The sequence below is a fragment of the Homo sapiens genome, chromosome 2, assembly GCF_000001405.40.
Source record: "Homo sapiens chromosome 2, GRCh38.p14 Primary Assembly".
Classification (NCBI taxonomy): domain Eukaryota; kingdom Metazoa; phylum Chordata; class Mammalia; order Primates; family Hominidae; genus Homo; species Homo sapiens.
This window is the reverse complement of record NC_000002.12, coordinates 70,091,452-70,107,131: the sequence shown is the minus strand read 5'-3', so window position 1 is coordinate 70,107,131 and position 15,680 is coordinate 70,091,452. Positions and strand designations below refer to the sequence as shown.

Below are 15,680 nucleotides of genomic sequence, written 5' to 3'. Positions count from 1 at the left end.
ATGCAATCTCGGCTCACTGCAACCTCCACCTCCTGGGTTCAAGCAATTCTCCTGCCTCAGTCTCCCGAGTAGCTGGGATTACAGGCACACGCCACCACGCCTGGCTAATTTTTGTATTTTTAGTAGAGACGAGGTTTCACCATGTTGGCCAGGCTGGTCTCAAACTCCTGAGTGCAGGTGATCCACCCACCTTGGCCTCCCAAAATGCTGGGATTACAGGCATGAGTGAGCCCCTGCGCCCGGCGCCTGTTACAAATTAATAACACTAAAATAATAGCATTGCTTTGTGCCATTATTCCTTCATTCATTTAAAAACTTTTATTGAGAAACTACAATGTGGAGGCACTGTTTCTTAAGCTCTATGGCTATTTTTTTTTTTTTTTTCTGAGACGGAGTCTAGGTCTGTCTCCAGGCTGGAGTACAGTGGCTCGATCTCAACTCACTGCAACCTCTGCCTCCTGGGTTCAAGTGATTCTCCTGCCTCAGCCTCCCAAGTAACTGGGATTACAGGCATGTGCTGCCACACCTGTCTAATTTTTGTATTTTTAGTAGAGATGGAGTTTCACCATGTTGGCCAGGATGGTCTCGATCTCCTGACCTCGTGATCCGCCCACCTTGGCCTTTCAAAGTGCTGGGATTACAGGTGTGAGCCTCCATGCCCGGCCAGCTCTATGGCTGTTATGAACAAAAGATATGTGGACTCTGCTCTCATGAAGCTTACATTCTAGTAATAAGAAACAAAGCCAGGCACAGTGGCTCCCGCCTGTAATCCCAACACTTTGGGAGGCCAAGGTGGGAGGATCACTTGAGGTCAGGAGTTCAAGATCAGTCTGGCCAACATGGTGAAACCCCACCTCTACTAAAAATACAAAAATTAAGGCCAGGCATGGTGGCTTACGCCTGTAATCCCAGCACTATGGGAGGCTGAGGTGGGCGGATCACCTGAGGTTGGAAGTTCGAGACCAGCCTGACCAACATGGAGAAACCCCGTCTCTACTAAAAATACAAAATTAGAAGGGCGTGGTAGTGCATGCCTATAATCCCAGCTACTCGCGAGGCTGAGGCAGGAGAATTGCTTGAACCTGGGAGGCAGAGGTTGCAGTGAGCTGAGATCGCGCCACTGCACTCCAGCCTGGGCAACAAGAGCGAAACTCCATCTCAAAAACCAAAAACAAAAACAACAACAAAAATTAGCCTGGCATGGTGGCACGCCCCTGTAATCCCAGCTACTCGGGAGGCTGAGGCAGGAGAATCGTTTGAACCTGGGAGGCAGAGGTTGCAGTGAGCTGAGATCATGCCACTGCACTCCAGCCTGGGTGACAGAGTGAGAAATGAGATGTTATATTTAAAAAACTTCCACTTCTTTTACTCTTTTATTTTTTAAAATTTATTTATTTATTGTTTTCAGACAGTCTCACTCCGTCACCCAGGATGGAGTGGAGTGGTGTGATCTTGGCTCACTGCAACCTCCCCCTCCTGGGTTTAAGAGGTTCTCCTACCTCAGCTTTCCTAGCAGCTGGGATTAGAGATGCCCAGCTCCAAGCCAGGCTAATTTTTGTATTTTTAGTAGAGACAGGGTTTCACCATGTTGGCCAGGCTAGTCTCGAACTCCTGACCTTAAGTGATCCCCCCACCTCGGCCTCCCAAAGTGCTGGGATTACAGGCGTGAGTCACTGCGCCCTGCCAAAACTTCCACTTCTGATAGCAACCACAAATATGAAATATGCAGGAATAAAGTCGACCAGTAATGTGAAAGACATTATGAAAAAAAAACATTCAGAGAAATAAAGGGAATCTTTAAAAATGGAAAGAAACACTATGTATACCTAGATTGGAAAATCTAATATGAATTTTAAATTTTAATTTATTTTGGAAATACTTTGATGTAATAAAAATCAAAAGTTTAAATCAGAAAAAATAATTTTATTTTTTATTTTTAAATATTTTCTGACATATTCTGAGTCTGACTTTTGTTTGAGGAAATAATTTTAAAATGTTGAAAAATGGTATAAGACTGGTGCTACCAGTCATTACCATTTAGTACTTGGAAGTGATAACCAAACAGTGTGGAGCTGGCACAGGAAAAGACAGGTATGTCAGTAACACAGAAAGAAAAGACAGGTATGTCAGTAACACAGAAAGAAAAGACAGGTATGTCAGTAACACAGAAAGAAAAGACAGGTATGTCAGTAACACATCAATAGGAAAAAGGATAGATTACTTAGGGAATGACAAAATGTTTCATCTTGATGACAAATCTCGTAGGTTGGAGGTAGCTGCTTGCAGTTCTAATCGGGCTGTGAGGCCTAGTCTGAGTTTAGCCAGGAGTTCTGCATTTGATTAGAAATGTCTTCCGGGGGCCCGGGAAGGGGAGACAGATTCACTCGGACCACATATTTTCCCTTCTTGGATTATTCAATAAATATCATTGGACAACGAGCCTGCAATTTGGGGAAAAAAAATTACTAGCTCTTCCCATCATATATAATATATACCCAAGTAAATGTCAGATGGTTTAGATTTAAATAGTATAACAAAATGGAAATATAAAATACTAGGAGGAAAAAAGAGGAAATTTTGAAAAACAATTATTGAAGTTAGGGAAGGACTTTCCAAACCTGACTTTAAAGACAGAAACCATAAAGTTAAAGATTGATAGATTTAGCTACTTAATCATTAGACACTTCTGCAGAGCAGAAGTTAAAAGAAAACTGACACATTAAAAAAATGCATTATATGTCGAAGCGTTAATATTTTACTGTATAACGAGATCCTCAATCATTAAGAAAAATACGAACACTCCAATAGAAAAAGGTGAAAAAGATACGAATAGGCAATTCACTAAAGGAGAAATGCAAACAGCTGAGAGATACATAACATTTCTTTTTACTCACCAGTAATCCAAGAAATGAAAATTAAAACAATGCTATACCATTTTTTTCACCTGCCAAACTGGCAGAGAAAAATCTCCAGTGTGCTTAAGGATGGGGGAAACAACACTGAAATGGAGAAAATCCCAGCTAACTGGGCCTAGTCACTTTGGACACAAATTCTACTTTATAATGGTTTCCTATTTCAGAAAGCAGTCAAGCAGTAGAGGCATTTACTGGAGAGATCTGCAAAAGTTGAGAAAGGAGAAGACCTCTATGGCTAAACTATAATTCTGTAAATTTGTGGTTAGCAAGAATATCCTGTCAGACTGTTAAATTCTAGTTTCCTTTTCTTATTCTAAAACATCTTTTCTGAAGAAATGGGTCATGAGGGCTTAGCCTATTTTCCCCTAACAAAGCTTTAACATCTTGGATACCCAAATCCCTTGTTAAAATTTTGGGTATAAACTGGCCCCACCTTAGGGTACAGTGAGACAGCCCCCTACTGGGGATCACAGCATTGGCTTGAGGCCAAGAAGCCCACCCAGATGGGCCACTTCCTCCCCTGTGAGGAACAGGGGACTCACAGGTCTCCAGTCTTCTAATCCTGATCTGACACAGGTACAATAAACTCCATGTTTGTCACCTTGTTCTCAGTGGTGAGCTACAAAAATTAGCCGGACGTGGTGGCCGGCGCCTGTCCCAGCTACTGGGGAGGCTGACGCAGGAGAATCGTTTGAACCTGGGAGGCGGAGGTTGAAGTGAGCCAAGATCGCGCCACTGCACTCCAGCCTGGGATAGAGCCAGAAAAAAAAACAACAACAGTGCTCTTATAATAAATAAGACAAAATGCCCATCCCAGAAAGAAAACATGCAAAGGATATAAAGAGGTGGTTTATAAAAGAAAAAATATAAATTCAAAAATCATGAACCTTTCAGAATGCAAATTAAAATCACGAAGAGATCCTGCTTTTTGTTTAACAAATCAGCAAAGGCTAAAAAAAAAAGCAAGATGATGCCCAATGTTGGTGAAGGTACAGAAAAAGGGGCACAGTGATGACAGTACACTTTGGTAAAATCTTTCTGTAGAGTAGCATTTCTCAAAGAGTGGTGGGGGGCCCTAGGGCGCCCTCAGATCCTTTCAGGGGTCTGAGAGGTCAAAACTATTTTCTTTTTTTTAATAGGAAAATGTTTTTTAATTGGAACATTTTGGAAATAAGATAATGCAATGTCTTCTATAGTTACTCATTTACACTGAAACGTGATGGGTAACTTTTAGGGCGTTTGCTTCCAGTCACTTTCCCCTGACTCCTTGATGTGATAATTCCTTCCATAAGATACAACCATTCTCCCAAGAGACGCGATGACGAGTATGTGCGTGACTCTGGAGGGAAAGGGTCTACATCTGTCTCTGCTTGTGCCTCGGATGGGTTTTACAGTAGACGTACCACTGACCCCGCCTCTTCACCAGGTAACAGTCCTTGCAGCGCTTCTTAAGGACAGTCTTGTTTTTGAACCCCAGCGCGGGCAGCAGGTGGGGCAGGAGGCCGGGTGAGAGAAGTGAGCGCACTTCTGCCCCGGGTTCCACAGCCACGGGGGCTGCACCTCGAAGGGATCCAAATAGAAATGTGGAGAGGGCTCGAGGCTTCACTGTGTGACGACTGAGATATAGCATAGGGTTCACCATTTTCCTTATAAAAAGAGTTGCCATGTTGTGGTGAATCCGGCCGCGCGCTCTCACCCCCGCGCCGGTCCCTGCGTCGGCCCCTGCCAGGAAGAAAGATGGCGGCGGAACTATTTTTATAATAATACTAAGATGTGGCTGGGTGTGGTGGCTCACGCCTGTAATCCTAGCACTTTGGGAGGTTGAGGTGGGTGGATCACCTGAGGTCAGGAGTTTGAGACCAGCCTGGCCAACCTGGTGAAACCCTGTCTTTACTAAAAATACCAAAAAAAAAAAAAAAAAAAAAAAAAAATTAACTGGGTGCGGTGGTGCGCGCCTGTAGTCCCAGCTATTCAGGAGGCTGAGGTAGAATCGCTTGAACCTAGGAGGCAGAGGTTGCAGTGAGCCGAGATCGCGCCACAGCACTCCAGCCTAGGAGGCAGAGCAAGACTCCATCTCAAAAAAACAAAACAAAACAAAATTTGTTTGCCTTTTTCACTCTCGTTTGCTCACTGGCACAGAATGTAATTTTCCAGAGGTTAGATGATTGTGATATCACGTGATTAAGGCAGAAACAAACAGGAGACAGTGTATTCTATTGTCAGACATTAAGGAGATTTCCAAAAATGTAAATCTTAGTGTGCAAAATAGTTTCTCACACTAAGTTTTTTTTGCTTTGGAAATTTTTTTGTTTGTTTTTGTTTTTAGATGGAGTTTACTCTCGTTGCCCTGGTTGGAGTGCAATGGCGCCATCTCGGCTCACTGCAACCTCCGCCTACCGAGTTCAAGCAATTCTCCTGCCTCAGCCTCCCGAGCAGCTGGGATTACAGGCATGCGTCACCACGCCCGTCTAATTTTGTAATTTTAGTAGAGACGAGGTTTCTCCATGTTGGTCAGGCTGGTCTTGAACTCCCGACCTCAGGTGATCCGCCTGCCTCGGCCGCCCAAAGTGCTGGGATTACAGGCGTGAGCCACCGCGCCCGGCTGGAAAATAGTTATTTTTAATAAAAAATATCAACTTATGTTAGCATTTAATGGGTTTATTATAGTTATTTGTAAAATAATTAATATGTAAACATTTAAAATGTTTATATGCTTTATTTTGTGAGATGGTTAACCACATAACAAAAATGCTTTTTAGGAATCTCAATTTTTTTTTTTTGCAACAGGGTCTCACTCTGTTGCCCAGGCTGGAGTGCAGTGGTGCGATCATGGCTCACTGCGGCCTCATGGGCTCAAGTTATCCTCCCACCTCAGCCTCCCGAGTGGCTGTGACCACAGGCACTAGGCACTATACCTGGCTAACTTTCGTATTTTTTGTAGAGAAGAGGCTTTGCCATGTTGCCCAGGCCAGGATTGTCTATGAGCTTCCGGGCTCAAGTGATCCTTCCTCCATGACCTCCCAAAGTGCTGGGATTATAGGCGTGAGCCACCACATCGGCCAAACTGAGTAATTTTTAAGAGTGTAAAGGGATAAGATCAAAAAGTTTGAGAACTGCTGTTCTATAGCAAAGTGATAATGTGCATGAAAAGCCTTGGAAATGGAGCTGCCCTTAAATCAAGGCTTTCCTCTTTTGAATAATTTGATTTTGTTCTTTTGTTTTTGAGATGGAGTCTCGCTCTGTCCCCCAGGCTGATGTGCAATGGTGCGATCTCGGCTCACTGCAACCTCTGCCTTCCGGGTTCAAGCGATTCTCCCACCTCAGCCTCCCCGATAGCTGGGACTACAGGCACCCGCCACCGCGCCCAGCTACTCTTCTGTATTTTTAGGAGAGACGGGGTTTCACCATGTTGGCCAGGCTGGTCTGGAACTTCTGACCTCAAGTGATCCGCCCGTCTCGGCCTCCCAAAATGCTGGGATTACTTACAGGCGTGAGCCACCGCGCCCGGCCTCCGTTGTCTGTTCTGGAGTTCCAGACCAGCCTGGCCAACATGAAGAAACCTCATTTCTCCTAAAAATACAAAAATTACCTGAGCGCTGTGGCGGGTGCCTGTAGCCCCAGCTACCGGAGAGGCTGAGGCATAAGAATCACTTGAACTGAGCTGATATCGTGCCACTGCACTCCAGCCTGGGCGACAGAGCGAAACTCTGTCTCAAAAAAAAAAAAAAAGAAAAGAAAAAGAAAGAAAGACAGCAAAATGTACAAACAAATATGCATTAAATAGGAGAGAGGTTAAAAAAATAACATATGGCTAAAAAAAAAACGCACAAAATTGTAGTATTTATTGTAGTGAAAATGTTCACAATTTATTAAGGTAAAAAATAGGAAAAAAATATAAAATAATGAAAGAATAGTCTTTTCAACAAACAATGTTGGAACAACTGGATATCCATATGCAACAGAACAAATCTGGAATCTTACACCATATACAAAAATTAACATAAAATGAGTCAAAGACCTAAATCCGAGGTCATGAAGATTTATATTTTTGTTTTCTTCTAAGATTTTTATAGTTCTAGTTCTTACACTATAAAACTCATAGAAGAAAACATGAGTATAAATCTTCGTGACCTTAGATTAGGGAATGGTTTCTTACATATGACAATAAAAGCACAAGCAACCACAACCAAAAAAACAGAAAGAAAAAATTGGTCTTCATCAAAATTAAAAACTTTTGTGCTTCAAAGGACATTATTAAGAAAGTTATGACAACTCACAGAACGGGAGAAAATATTTACAAATTATATATCTAATAAGGTTCTAGTATATAGAATATATATAGAACTCTTACAACGCAATAATAAAAAGACAACTTAATTTTTTAAATGGGCAAAGGATTTTATTTTATTTTGTTGTTTTGAGATGGATTCTCGCTCTGTCACCCAGGCTGGAATTGTGATAGCGTGATCTCGGCTCACTGAAACCTCCACTTCCCGGGTTCAAGCAATTCTCCTGCCTCAGCCTCCCGAGTAGCTGGGACCACAGGCGCACACCATGGCACCTGGCTAAATTTTTTTAATTTTTAATTTTTTAATTTTTAATAGAGATGGGTTTTCACTATGTTGCCCAGGTTGGGGAGGATTTTAATAAATGTTTCTCCAAAGAAGATATATAAACAGCCAATAAGCAAATGGAAAGATACTCAATTAGGGAAATGCAGGTCAAAACCACAATGAGGTGTCACTTTACACCCACTAGGATGGCTACAGTAAAAAAAAGAAAAAAAAAAAAGTGGCCAGGTGCAGTGGCTCAAGCTTGTAATCCCAGCACTTTGGGAGACTAAGGCAGGCAGGCAGATAGTTTGAGACCAGCCTGGGCAATGTGGCAAAACCTTATCTTTACTAAAAATACAAAAAATTAGCCAGGTGTGGTGCCGCGTGCCTGTAGTCTCAGCTACTTGGGAGGCTGAGGTGGGAGGATCACCTGAGCTCGGGAAGTTGAGGCTGCAGTGAGCAGAGGTCGCACCACTGCACTCCAGCCTGAGCAACAGGAGTGAGACCCTATCCCAAAAAAAGAAAAAAAAGTGTTGGCAAGAATGTAGAAATATTAGAACCCTCATATACTGCTGGTGGGAATGTAAAATGATAGAGCCACTGTGAAAAAAATTTGGCAGTCCTCAAAAAGTTAAACATAGAGTTACCACATAACCCAGTAATTCCACTGATAGGTATATACTCCAAAGAAATGAAAACATATGTCCATACAAAACTTGTACACAAATGTTCAATGTTCACCATAGCATTATTCATAATAGTCAGGAAGTGGAAACAATACAAATGTCCAGCAACTAATGAATGGCTAAATAAAATGTCATATGGTCATGTGATACCATATATTGTATGACCATATCACACTTGAATATGAATATATTCAACCATTAAAAGAAAAGAAGGCTGGGTGCGGTGGCTCACGCCTGTAATCCCAGCACTTTGGGAGGCCGAGGCGGGCGGATCACGAGGTCAGGAGATCGAGACGATCCTGGTTAACACGGTGAAACCCCATCTCTACTAAAAAAATAAATAAATACAAAACATTAGGCCAGCCATGGTGGCTGGCACCTGTAGTCCCAGCTACTCAGGAGGCTGAGGCAGGAGAATGGTGTGAACCTGGGAGGCAGAGGTTGCAGTGAGCTGAGATCGTGCCACTGCACTCCAGCCTTGGTGACAGAGCGAGACTCCGTCTCAAAAAAAAAAAAGAAGAAAATAGGTACTGATACATGCTACAACATGGACAAACCTTGAAAACTTATATTAAATGAAAGCAGTCAGATGCAAAAGGCCACATATTATATAATTCTATTTATATGAAATGTGCAGAATAAACAAATCCATAGAGCCAGAAAGTAGATTAGTGCTTGCCAGGGACTCGGGGGTGGGGACTGGAGGTGAGGGAGGATGGAAATGACTGGTAATAGGTGCAAAGGTTACTTTTTGGGGTGATGAAAATGACTGGCATGAGAGAGTGATGATGATTACACAATCTTGTGAATATACTAAAAACCATTAAATTGTACACTTTAAAATGGTGAATTTGGCTGGGCGCAGTGGCTCACGCCTGTAACCCCAGCACTTTGGGAGGTCGAGGTGGGCAGATCACTTGAGGTCAGGAGTTTGAGACCAGCCTGACCAACATGGTGAAACCCTATCTCTTCTAAAAATACAAAAATTAGCCAGGCGGTGTGGTGGGCACCTGTAATCCCAGCTACTCAGGAGGCTGAGGCAGGAGAATCACCTGAACCCAGGAGATGGAGATTGGAGTGAGCCGAGATGGCACCACTACACTCCAGCCTGGGTGATGGAGCGAGACTCTGTCTTAAAAAAAAAGGGGGATATTTATATACACACACACACACTTTCTCTCTCTCTCTATACATATATGCGCATATATATATATATATATACTGCATCTCTATATATTGAAAAGTATTATATTTATATATGCATACAACAAAGAATAGAGGATGTTAATAGCAATAAGGATTTTTATATGTGTTAGATATTCATGTATGCTCTATAAAGACATATATTGCTTTCTTTTTTTTTTTTTTTTTTTTGAGACAGGGTCTCTGTCACCCAGGCTGGAGTGCAGTGACATGGTCACGGATCACTACAGCCTGGACCTCCGGGACTCAGGTGATCCTCCCACCTCAGCCTTCCAAGTAGCTGGGACCATAGGTGTGCACTACCAAGACCAGCTATTTTTTTTTTTTTTTTTTTGTATTTTTTGTAGAGACAGCGTTTTGCCATGTTGCCCAGGCTAGTCTCAAACTCATGGGCTCAAGCAATCTTCCCGAGCCTTGGCTTCCCAAAGTGCTGGAATTACAGGCATGAACCACCATTTCTGGCCTTTAAATTTTTATTTATTTATTTATTTATTTATGTATTTATTTATTTATTTATTTATTGAGGCGGAGTCTCGCTTCATCGCCCAGGCTGGAGTGCCGTGGCGCGATGCAAGCTCCGCCTCCCGGGTTCAGGCCATTCTCCTGCCTCAGCCTCCGGAGTAGCTGGGACTACAGGCGCCCGTCCCCACCCCCGGCTAATTTTTTGTACTTTTTTTTTTTTTTTTTTGAGACGGAGTCTCGCTCTGTAGCCCAGGCTGGAGTGCAGTGCCGCAATCTTGGCTCACTGCAAGCTCCGCCTCACGGGTTCACGCCATTCTCCTGCCTCAGCCTCCCGAGTAGCTGGGACTACAGGCACCAGCCACCACGCCCGGCTAATTTTTTGTATTTTTAGTAGAGACAGGGTTTCACCGTATTAGCCAGGATGGTCTTGATTTCCTGACCACGTGATCCGCCAGCCTCGGCCTCCCAAAGTGCTGAGATTACAGGCATGAGCCACCATGCCTGGTCCCTATTTTTTTTAATATAATAGAGATGAGGTCTCACTATGTTGCCCAGACTGGTCTCGAACTCGTGGCCTCAACTGATCATCTCGCCTTGGCCTCCCAAAGTGCTGGGATTACAGGCATAAACCACCGTTCCTGGCCTTTACATTTTTATTTTTTTTAAACATAATAGAGACAAGGTTTCACTATGTTGCCCAGACTGGTCTCGAACTCCTGGCCTCAACTGATCCTCCTGCCTTGGCCTTCCAAAGTGTTGGGAGTATAGGTGTGAGCCACCGTGCCAGGCTTCATGTATGTTTTCTTGACTGAAAAATTGGGCAGGCTGGGCACGCCGGCTTACACCTGTAATCCTAGCACTTTGGGAGGCTGAGGCAGGTGGATCGCTTGGAGGAGTTCGAGACCACCCTGGGCAACACGGTAAAACCCTGTCTCTACTAAAAATACAAAAAAATAGCCAGTGTGGTGCCTTATGACTGTAGTCCCAACTACTTGGGAGGCTGAGGTGGGAGGATTGCTTAAACCTAGGAGGCGGAGGTTACAGTGAGCCTAGATCACACCACTGCACTCCAGCCTGGGCGATACGGTGACACCCTGCCTCAAAATAAATAAATAAATAAATAAAATTATAAATAAATAAATAAATAAATAAAATAAAAAATAAAAAAATAAAAAAGAACAATTGAGCAATAAAAGTCATTACAGACAAGATGAAAAATGTGCAGACCGTCCATTTAGAGTCACCTTACTGTGACTGAACTGCTCAGGGAATAACCAGTTTGGCATCTTGCACCATTCGAGTGGCTAGCTGACATGATATGAGTTTGCTGACGCTGAAGGACGGTGGTCTCAGCTCCCTACCAAGGCTCACTCAGCCCAGTGGCAGATGTTTGGAGGCACAATCCACCCCTGGGAGGAGAAGGAGGGCAGCACAGTTACTATCTCCCTACTTCAGTGGACACAAGGTATAGGGGAAAATCAGGGCAGCCAAGCCCTCTCCCAAAGCCCTTGCTTTGAGGGCAGGAGGGCAGGGGAAAGGAGGGGCGAGGGCTTGGGCCTGCTTTTAGGGATTAACTTCTCCTCGTGTGTAACCTTCTCTGGAGTGTCTGTCTTCTTCCCCTCTACTGTCCTTACATCTTCCCCTCAAAGTCTAAAGTGATAGCCTATAATCCCAGCTACTTGGGAGGCTGAAGCAGGAGGATTGGTTGAGCCCAGGAGTTTGAGGCTGCAGTGGGCTGTGATCATACCATTGTCCTCCAGCCCAGGCCACAGAGTGAATGACCCCGTCTTAAAAATAAATAAATAAAATAAATAAGTAAGAAAAAGTCTAAAGCGACAGGCACAATAATAGATCAGGGATGTTCCGAGCAAATCTCACTGCAGTTCTTCCTTTCTACTTCCTCCTCAATCAAGTGCCTATGAATAGTTACCCAAAATGCCAAGCTGGGGCTTGTTGCTGCCAGTTTTTTGTCAACTTCCGCTTTTCTCTGTTAGAGTATTTACAGAAGGCCTGTGTGTCAGAAGTCAGCCCTGTGGCAGGAGGCAGAAGCTGGGATGGGTGCCCACAAAGGAAGCCTTATTTTCCAAGGCAGCCAGAGAATCATGGGTCTGAACTTATCCCGTCTTCTCAGATGGAGGACTAAGACCCAGAAAGAGGGAGGAATTTGTCCAAGCTCTCCCAGTGAGCTGATGCCAGAGCCAGGACTAGAACTCAGGTCTCCCAATTCTCAGCACAGTGTGATTTTCCTTGCAGAATGTTGATGCTCAAAGAACAGGAACCCCAGAACCCCAGGGAGGTAAGGAAGAAGAGCACAGCCAGGATCAGAAGAGTGAAGAAACAATGATGTCCCACAGGCAAGGATGCCCACACAGAATGACTTTGGGGGGACTGCCAGTTATTTTGTATGGAAGGCTGAAGGTAGTGGCAGGAGACTTGTTAGGCCTTGCACTGGTGAGGCTGGTGGGGAACAGATGTTCAAGGGCCTGGAAAACTGTGCTGAACAGTTTGGGTTTTCTTTCATAGACCATGGGGGTGAGGTGGGACTTGAAGGCCTTTGATCGGGGGACACATGTGTTTAGATCTGAATTTTAGGAAGGCCCCTCAGGTGGCCAGGCTAGGTGAGGTGAGCAGAGGACTTGGTAGTGGAAGGCTTCTCTTGCTGTGACTGCCTATTTGTATGTCTGACTGGGCGCTGTCTCACTGGCAGGAGGTGGCAGGCCCAGGGATGCTGGACAGTATGTGGTTCACCACTTGGGGTAGCCAAGAGTAGCAAGGGGTGAGGTGGGTTCAACTCACAAACCTGAAGCTCTTGGTAAATACTGCTTACTTTTCAGGTCACAGGGAGTAAGTAGCTGCTCTAGGGGTGAACCCAAGAGTGGTGATTCACTGTCCAAACTACTGGCTGGAGGAGAGCTCGTGGTGGTCATGTACGTGTGTGCATGTGTGTGTGTCTATATTTGAGTGGGGCAAGGGAGGGGATTGGGGACCGGGGGAGACCAGCCTTCTAAACACATGATACAAATACTATGGCTATGACACAACAGGTGTTTGTCAACCTGTTCCAGCTCTTCCCAACTATGGCAGTGGCTATGGCCTAACAGCTGGAGGCAGGAACAGGGCAGTGACAAGAATCAGCAACTGCATAGGGGCCTCATCAATTTCCAGTCCTCCATCCAGAAGAGGACAGGACATGCTCAAGCTGCCCCAAAGAGAAAGGACAAAGGAGAGGAATTCTGAGATGCAAGTCCCTATGGAAGAGGGGACAGAGTTAAATTCCAGCAGTCCAACAGACTATGGCTAGAGCCATAGTCTTCTCTTACCTGTATCTTTAACGTTCAGCTTACTATTGGTTCCTTATTATCTCCTGTTAGTGAGGTTCCTTTCAAAAACAATAAAACAAAACAATATTTTCCCGCTCAACTGCTCAACTTTTTGACTTAATTTTTTTTTTTTTTTTTTGAGACGGAGTCTCGCTCTTTTGCCCAGGCCGGACTGCAGTGGCGCTATCTCGGCTCACTGCAAGCTCCGCCTCCCGGGTTCACGCCCTTCTCCTGCCTCAGCCTCCCAAGTAGCTGGGACTACAGGGGCCCGCCACAGCGCCCAGCTAATTTTTTGTATTTTTAGTAGAGACGGGGTCTCACCGTGTTAGCCAGGATGGTCTACGATCTCCTGACCTCATGATCCGCCTGCCTCCGCCTTCCAAAGTGCTGGGATTACAGGCGTGAGCCACAGCGCCCGGCCAACTTTTTGACTTATTTCTTTTCCTCCTTTGCACCATCAAGTATTTGAGCAGTGGACACCCTTGCCTCCATTTCCTCACCCACTATGCCCTCCTCTCCTCCTGCAAACTGGTTTCCCCGCATCACTCTTCTGAAATTCTGCTCCCCAAACATACTCATTCCAGTGAAATTGTCTTCCCCAGAATTCCTTTGGTGTCTGAAAGGACTGGGGAGAAAGGATAAAAAAACTATTAAGATTGGCTGGGCGTGGTGGTTCACGTCTGTAATCCCAGCACTTTGGGAGGCCGAGACAGGTGGATCACCTGAGGTCAGAAGTTTGAGACCAGCCTGGCCAACGTGGTGAAACCCCATCTCTACTAAAAATACAAAAAATTAGCCAGGCGTGGTGGTGCGCACCTGTAATCACAGCTACTCAAGAGGCTGAGGCAGGAGAATCGCTTGAACCCAGGAGGCAGAGGTTGCAGTGAGCTATCATGCCACTGCACTACAGGCTGGGAGACAGAGCGAGACTCAGTCTCAACAACAACAACAACAACAACAACAACAACAACAACAACAACAACAAAAACTATTAAGATTTAGATTTTGGCCAGGGGCGGTGGCTCACATGTGTAATTCCAGCACTTTGGGAGGCTAAGAAGGGCGGATTGCTTGAGCCCAGGAGTTTGAGACCAGCCTGGGCAAATAGTGAGGCCCTGTTTCTACAAAAAAATACAAAAATTAGCCGGGCGTGTTGGCACATGCCTGTAGTCCCAGCTACCCAGGAGGCTGAGGTGGGAGGATCAGCTGAGTCGGGGAGGTTGAGGTTGCAGTGAGCCGTGACTGTGCCACTGCACTCCAACATGGATGACAGAGTTAGACCTTGTCTCAAAATAAATTAAATAATTTAGGCCGGGTGTGGTGGCTCACACCTCTAATCCCAGCACTTTGGGAGGCCAAGGTGGGTTGATCACCTGAGGTTGGGAGTTCAAGACCAGCCTGGCCAACATGGTGAAACCGTGTCTCTACTAAAAATACAAAAATTAGCTGGGTGTAATGGTGGGCACCTGTAATCTCAGCTACTTGGGAGGCTGAGGCAGGAGAATTGTTCGAAGCCAGGAGGCAGAGGTTGCAGTGAGCCAAGACTATGCCATTGCACTCCAGTCTGGGCAATAGAGACTTTGTCTCAAAAATAAATAAGTAAATAAATAGTTTAGATTTCAATTAAAAAAATTGTCTTTGATTCAGATTTCATTTGTTTTTAAACTGGTAATATTTAACTTTTGTGTTTATAATGTATATAATATTTAGGATTCTGCTTATATATAGCTTATAAACAAGCATAAGGATTAGCATACATATATAATTTATAAATAAACAAGTTATAAAGACATATGCTAAAGACTTGCTATGGAAGGCCTATACTTTAAGAAAATGTTTGGAGACCACCGATTTTCAGTATGACGCTCAAAGCCTTTGTTACGGCATTCAATGCTGGTGATAATTTAGCCTTAAGTAATTTTACGGCTTCCTTCACCTCCTCTTCCTCCCTTTACCACAGATCATACTCTTAACTATAATCAGCTACTAGACATCTTCCAAGCGCACCACAACAGCACGATGTAGTTCAGAGTACTTTGCCCACAGTAGCTGCTCAATCAAATCTGTTAAATAACCTCCTTACAGCATTATTGTCACTCCGTCAGCCCTGGACTGTTCCTCCTTGACTTCTCTCAAGGGCACTCTCCTGATTTCTCTCCTGCTGCTTCAACTATTCCTTCTGTCCTCACTGGCTGCCTCTTCCATATACACTTTACAAATATTTACTGAGTCCCTGCTATGTGTCAGGTATGGTGACAGGTACTAGGGTACCCAGTGAATAAGAAAACTAGGTCCTTCAACCCAACGAAATACCCCAAAACTCCATCTCTAGTCCCTTCCCCTCATTTACCTCTGTTCCTATGCAGCTTTGACTTCACCTCAGTCTTATTTCTAGCTACTTGTTGACTATTTCTGTCTGCATATACTTCTATCACCGTGCCTGAATTCATTGCTCCCCCTTTTTACATCTTCCTCTGGCCTCCACACCCAGTTTCAATATCTCTGCCATTGCCTAGTTCCTTTCCTTGCATTCCTATTGAT

The 15,680-nt window shown here is 44.4% G+C and overlaps 1 long non-coding RNA gene and 1 pseudogene across 2 annotated transcripts, besides 3 other annotated features; one reads left to right on the top strand and one right to left on the bottom strand.

Annotated features, from left to right (window-relative positions):
- Window positions 3,650-3,699: an enhancer, noted in NCBI's record as "active region_15991". NCBI's record gives its function as "activates an Ori minimal core promoter by ATAC-STARR-seq in GM12878 lymphoblastoid cells {active_cell/tissue: GM12878}" and the evidence as "EXISTENCE:reporter gene assay evidence [ECO:0000049][PMID:35858748]".
- On the bottom strand, window positions 4,046-4,635 carry MRPL36P1 (mitochondrial ribosomal protein L36 pseudogene 1; annotated as a pseudogene).
- Window positions 11,400-11,509: an enhancer, noted in NCBI's record as "active region_15990". NCBI's record gives its function as "activates an Ori minimal core promoter by ATAC-STARR-seq in GM12878 lymphoblastoid cells {active_cell/tissue: GM12878}" and the evidence as "EXISTENCE:reporter gene assay evidence [ECO:0000049][PMID:35858748]".
- Window positions 11,680-11,919: an enhancer, noted in NCBI's record as "active region_15989". NCBI's record gives its function as "activates an Ori minimal core promoter by ATAC-STARR-seq in GM12878 lymphoblastoid cells {active_cell/tissue: GM12878}" and the evidence as "EXISTENCE:reporter gene assay evidence [ECO:0000049][PMID:35858748]".
- On the top strand, window positions 11,812-13,239 carry LOC124906022 (uncharacterized). 2 transcript variants are annotated; one of them, XR_007086868.1, is made up of 2 exons: window positions 11,812-12,746; window positions 12,885-13,239. It is a non-coding gene; the product is annotated as an uncharacterized LOC124906022 (long non-coding RNA). The 2 variants fall into 2 exon arrangements; XR_007086862.1 differs by having other exon boundaries at window positions 12,864-13,239.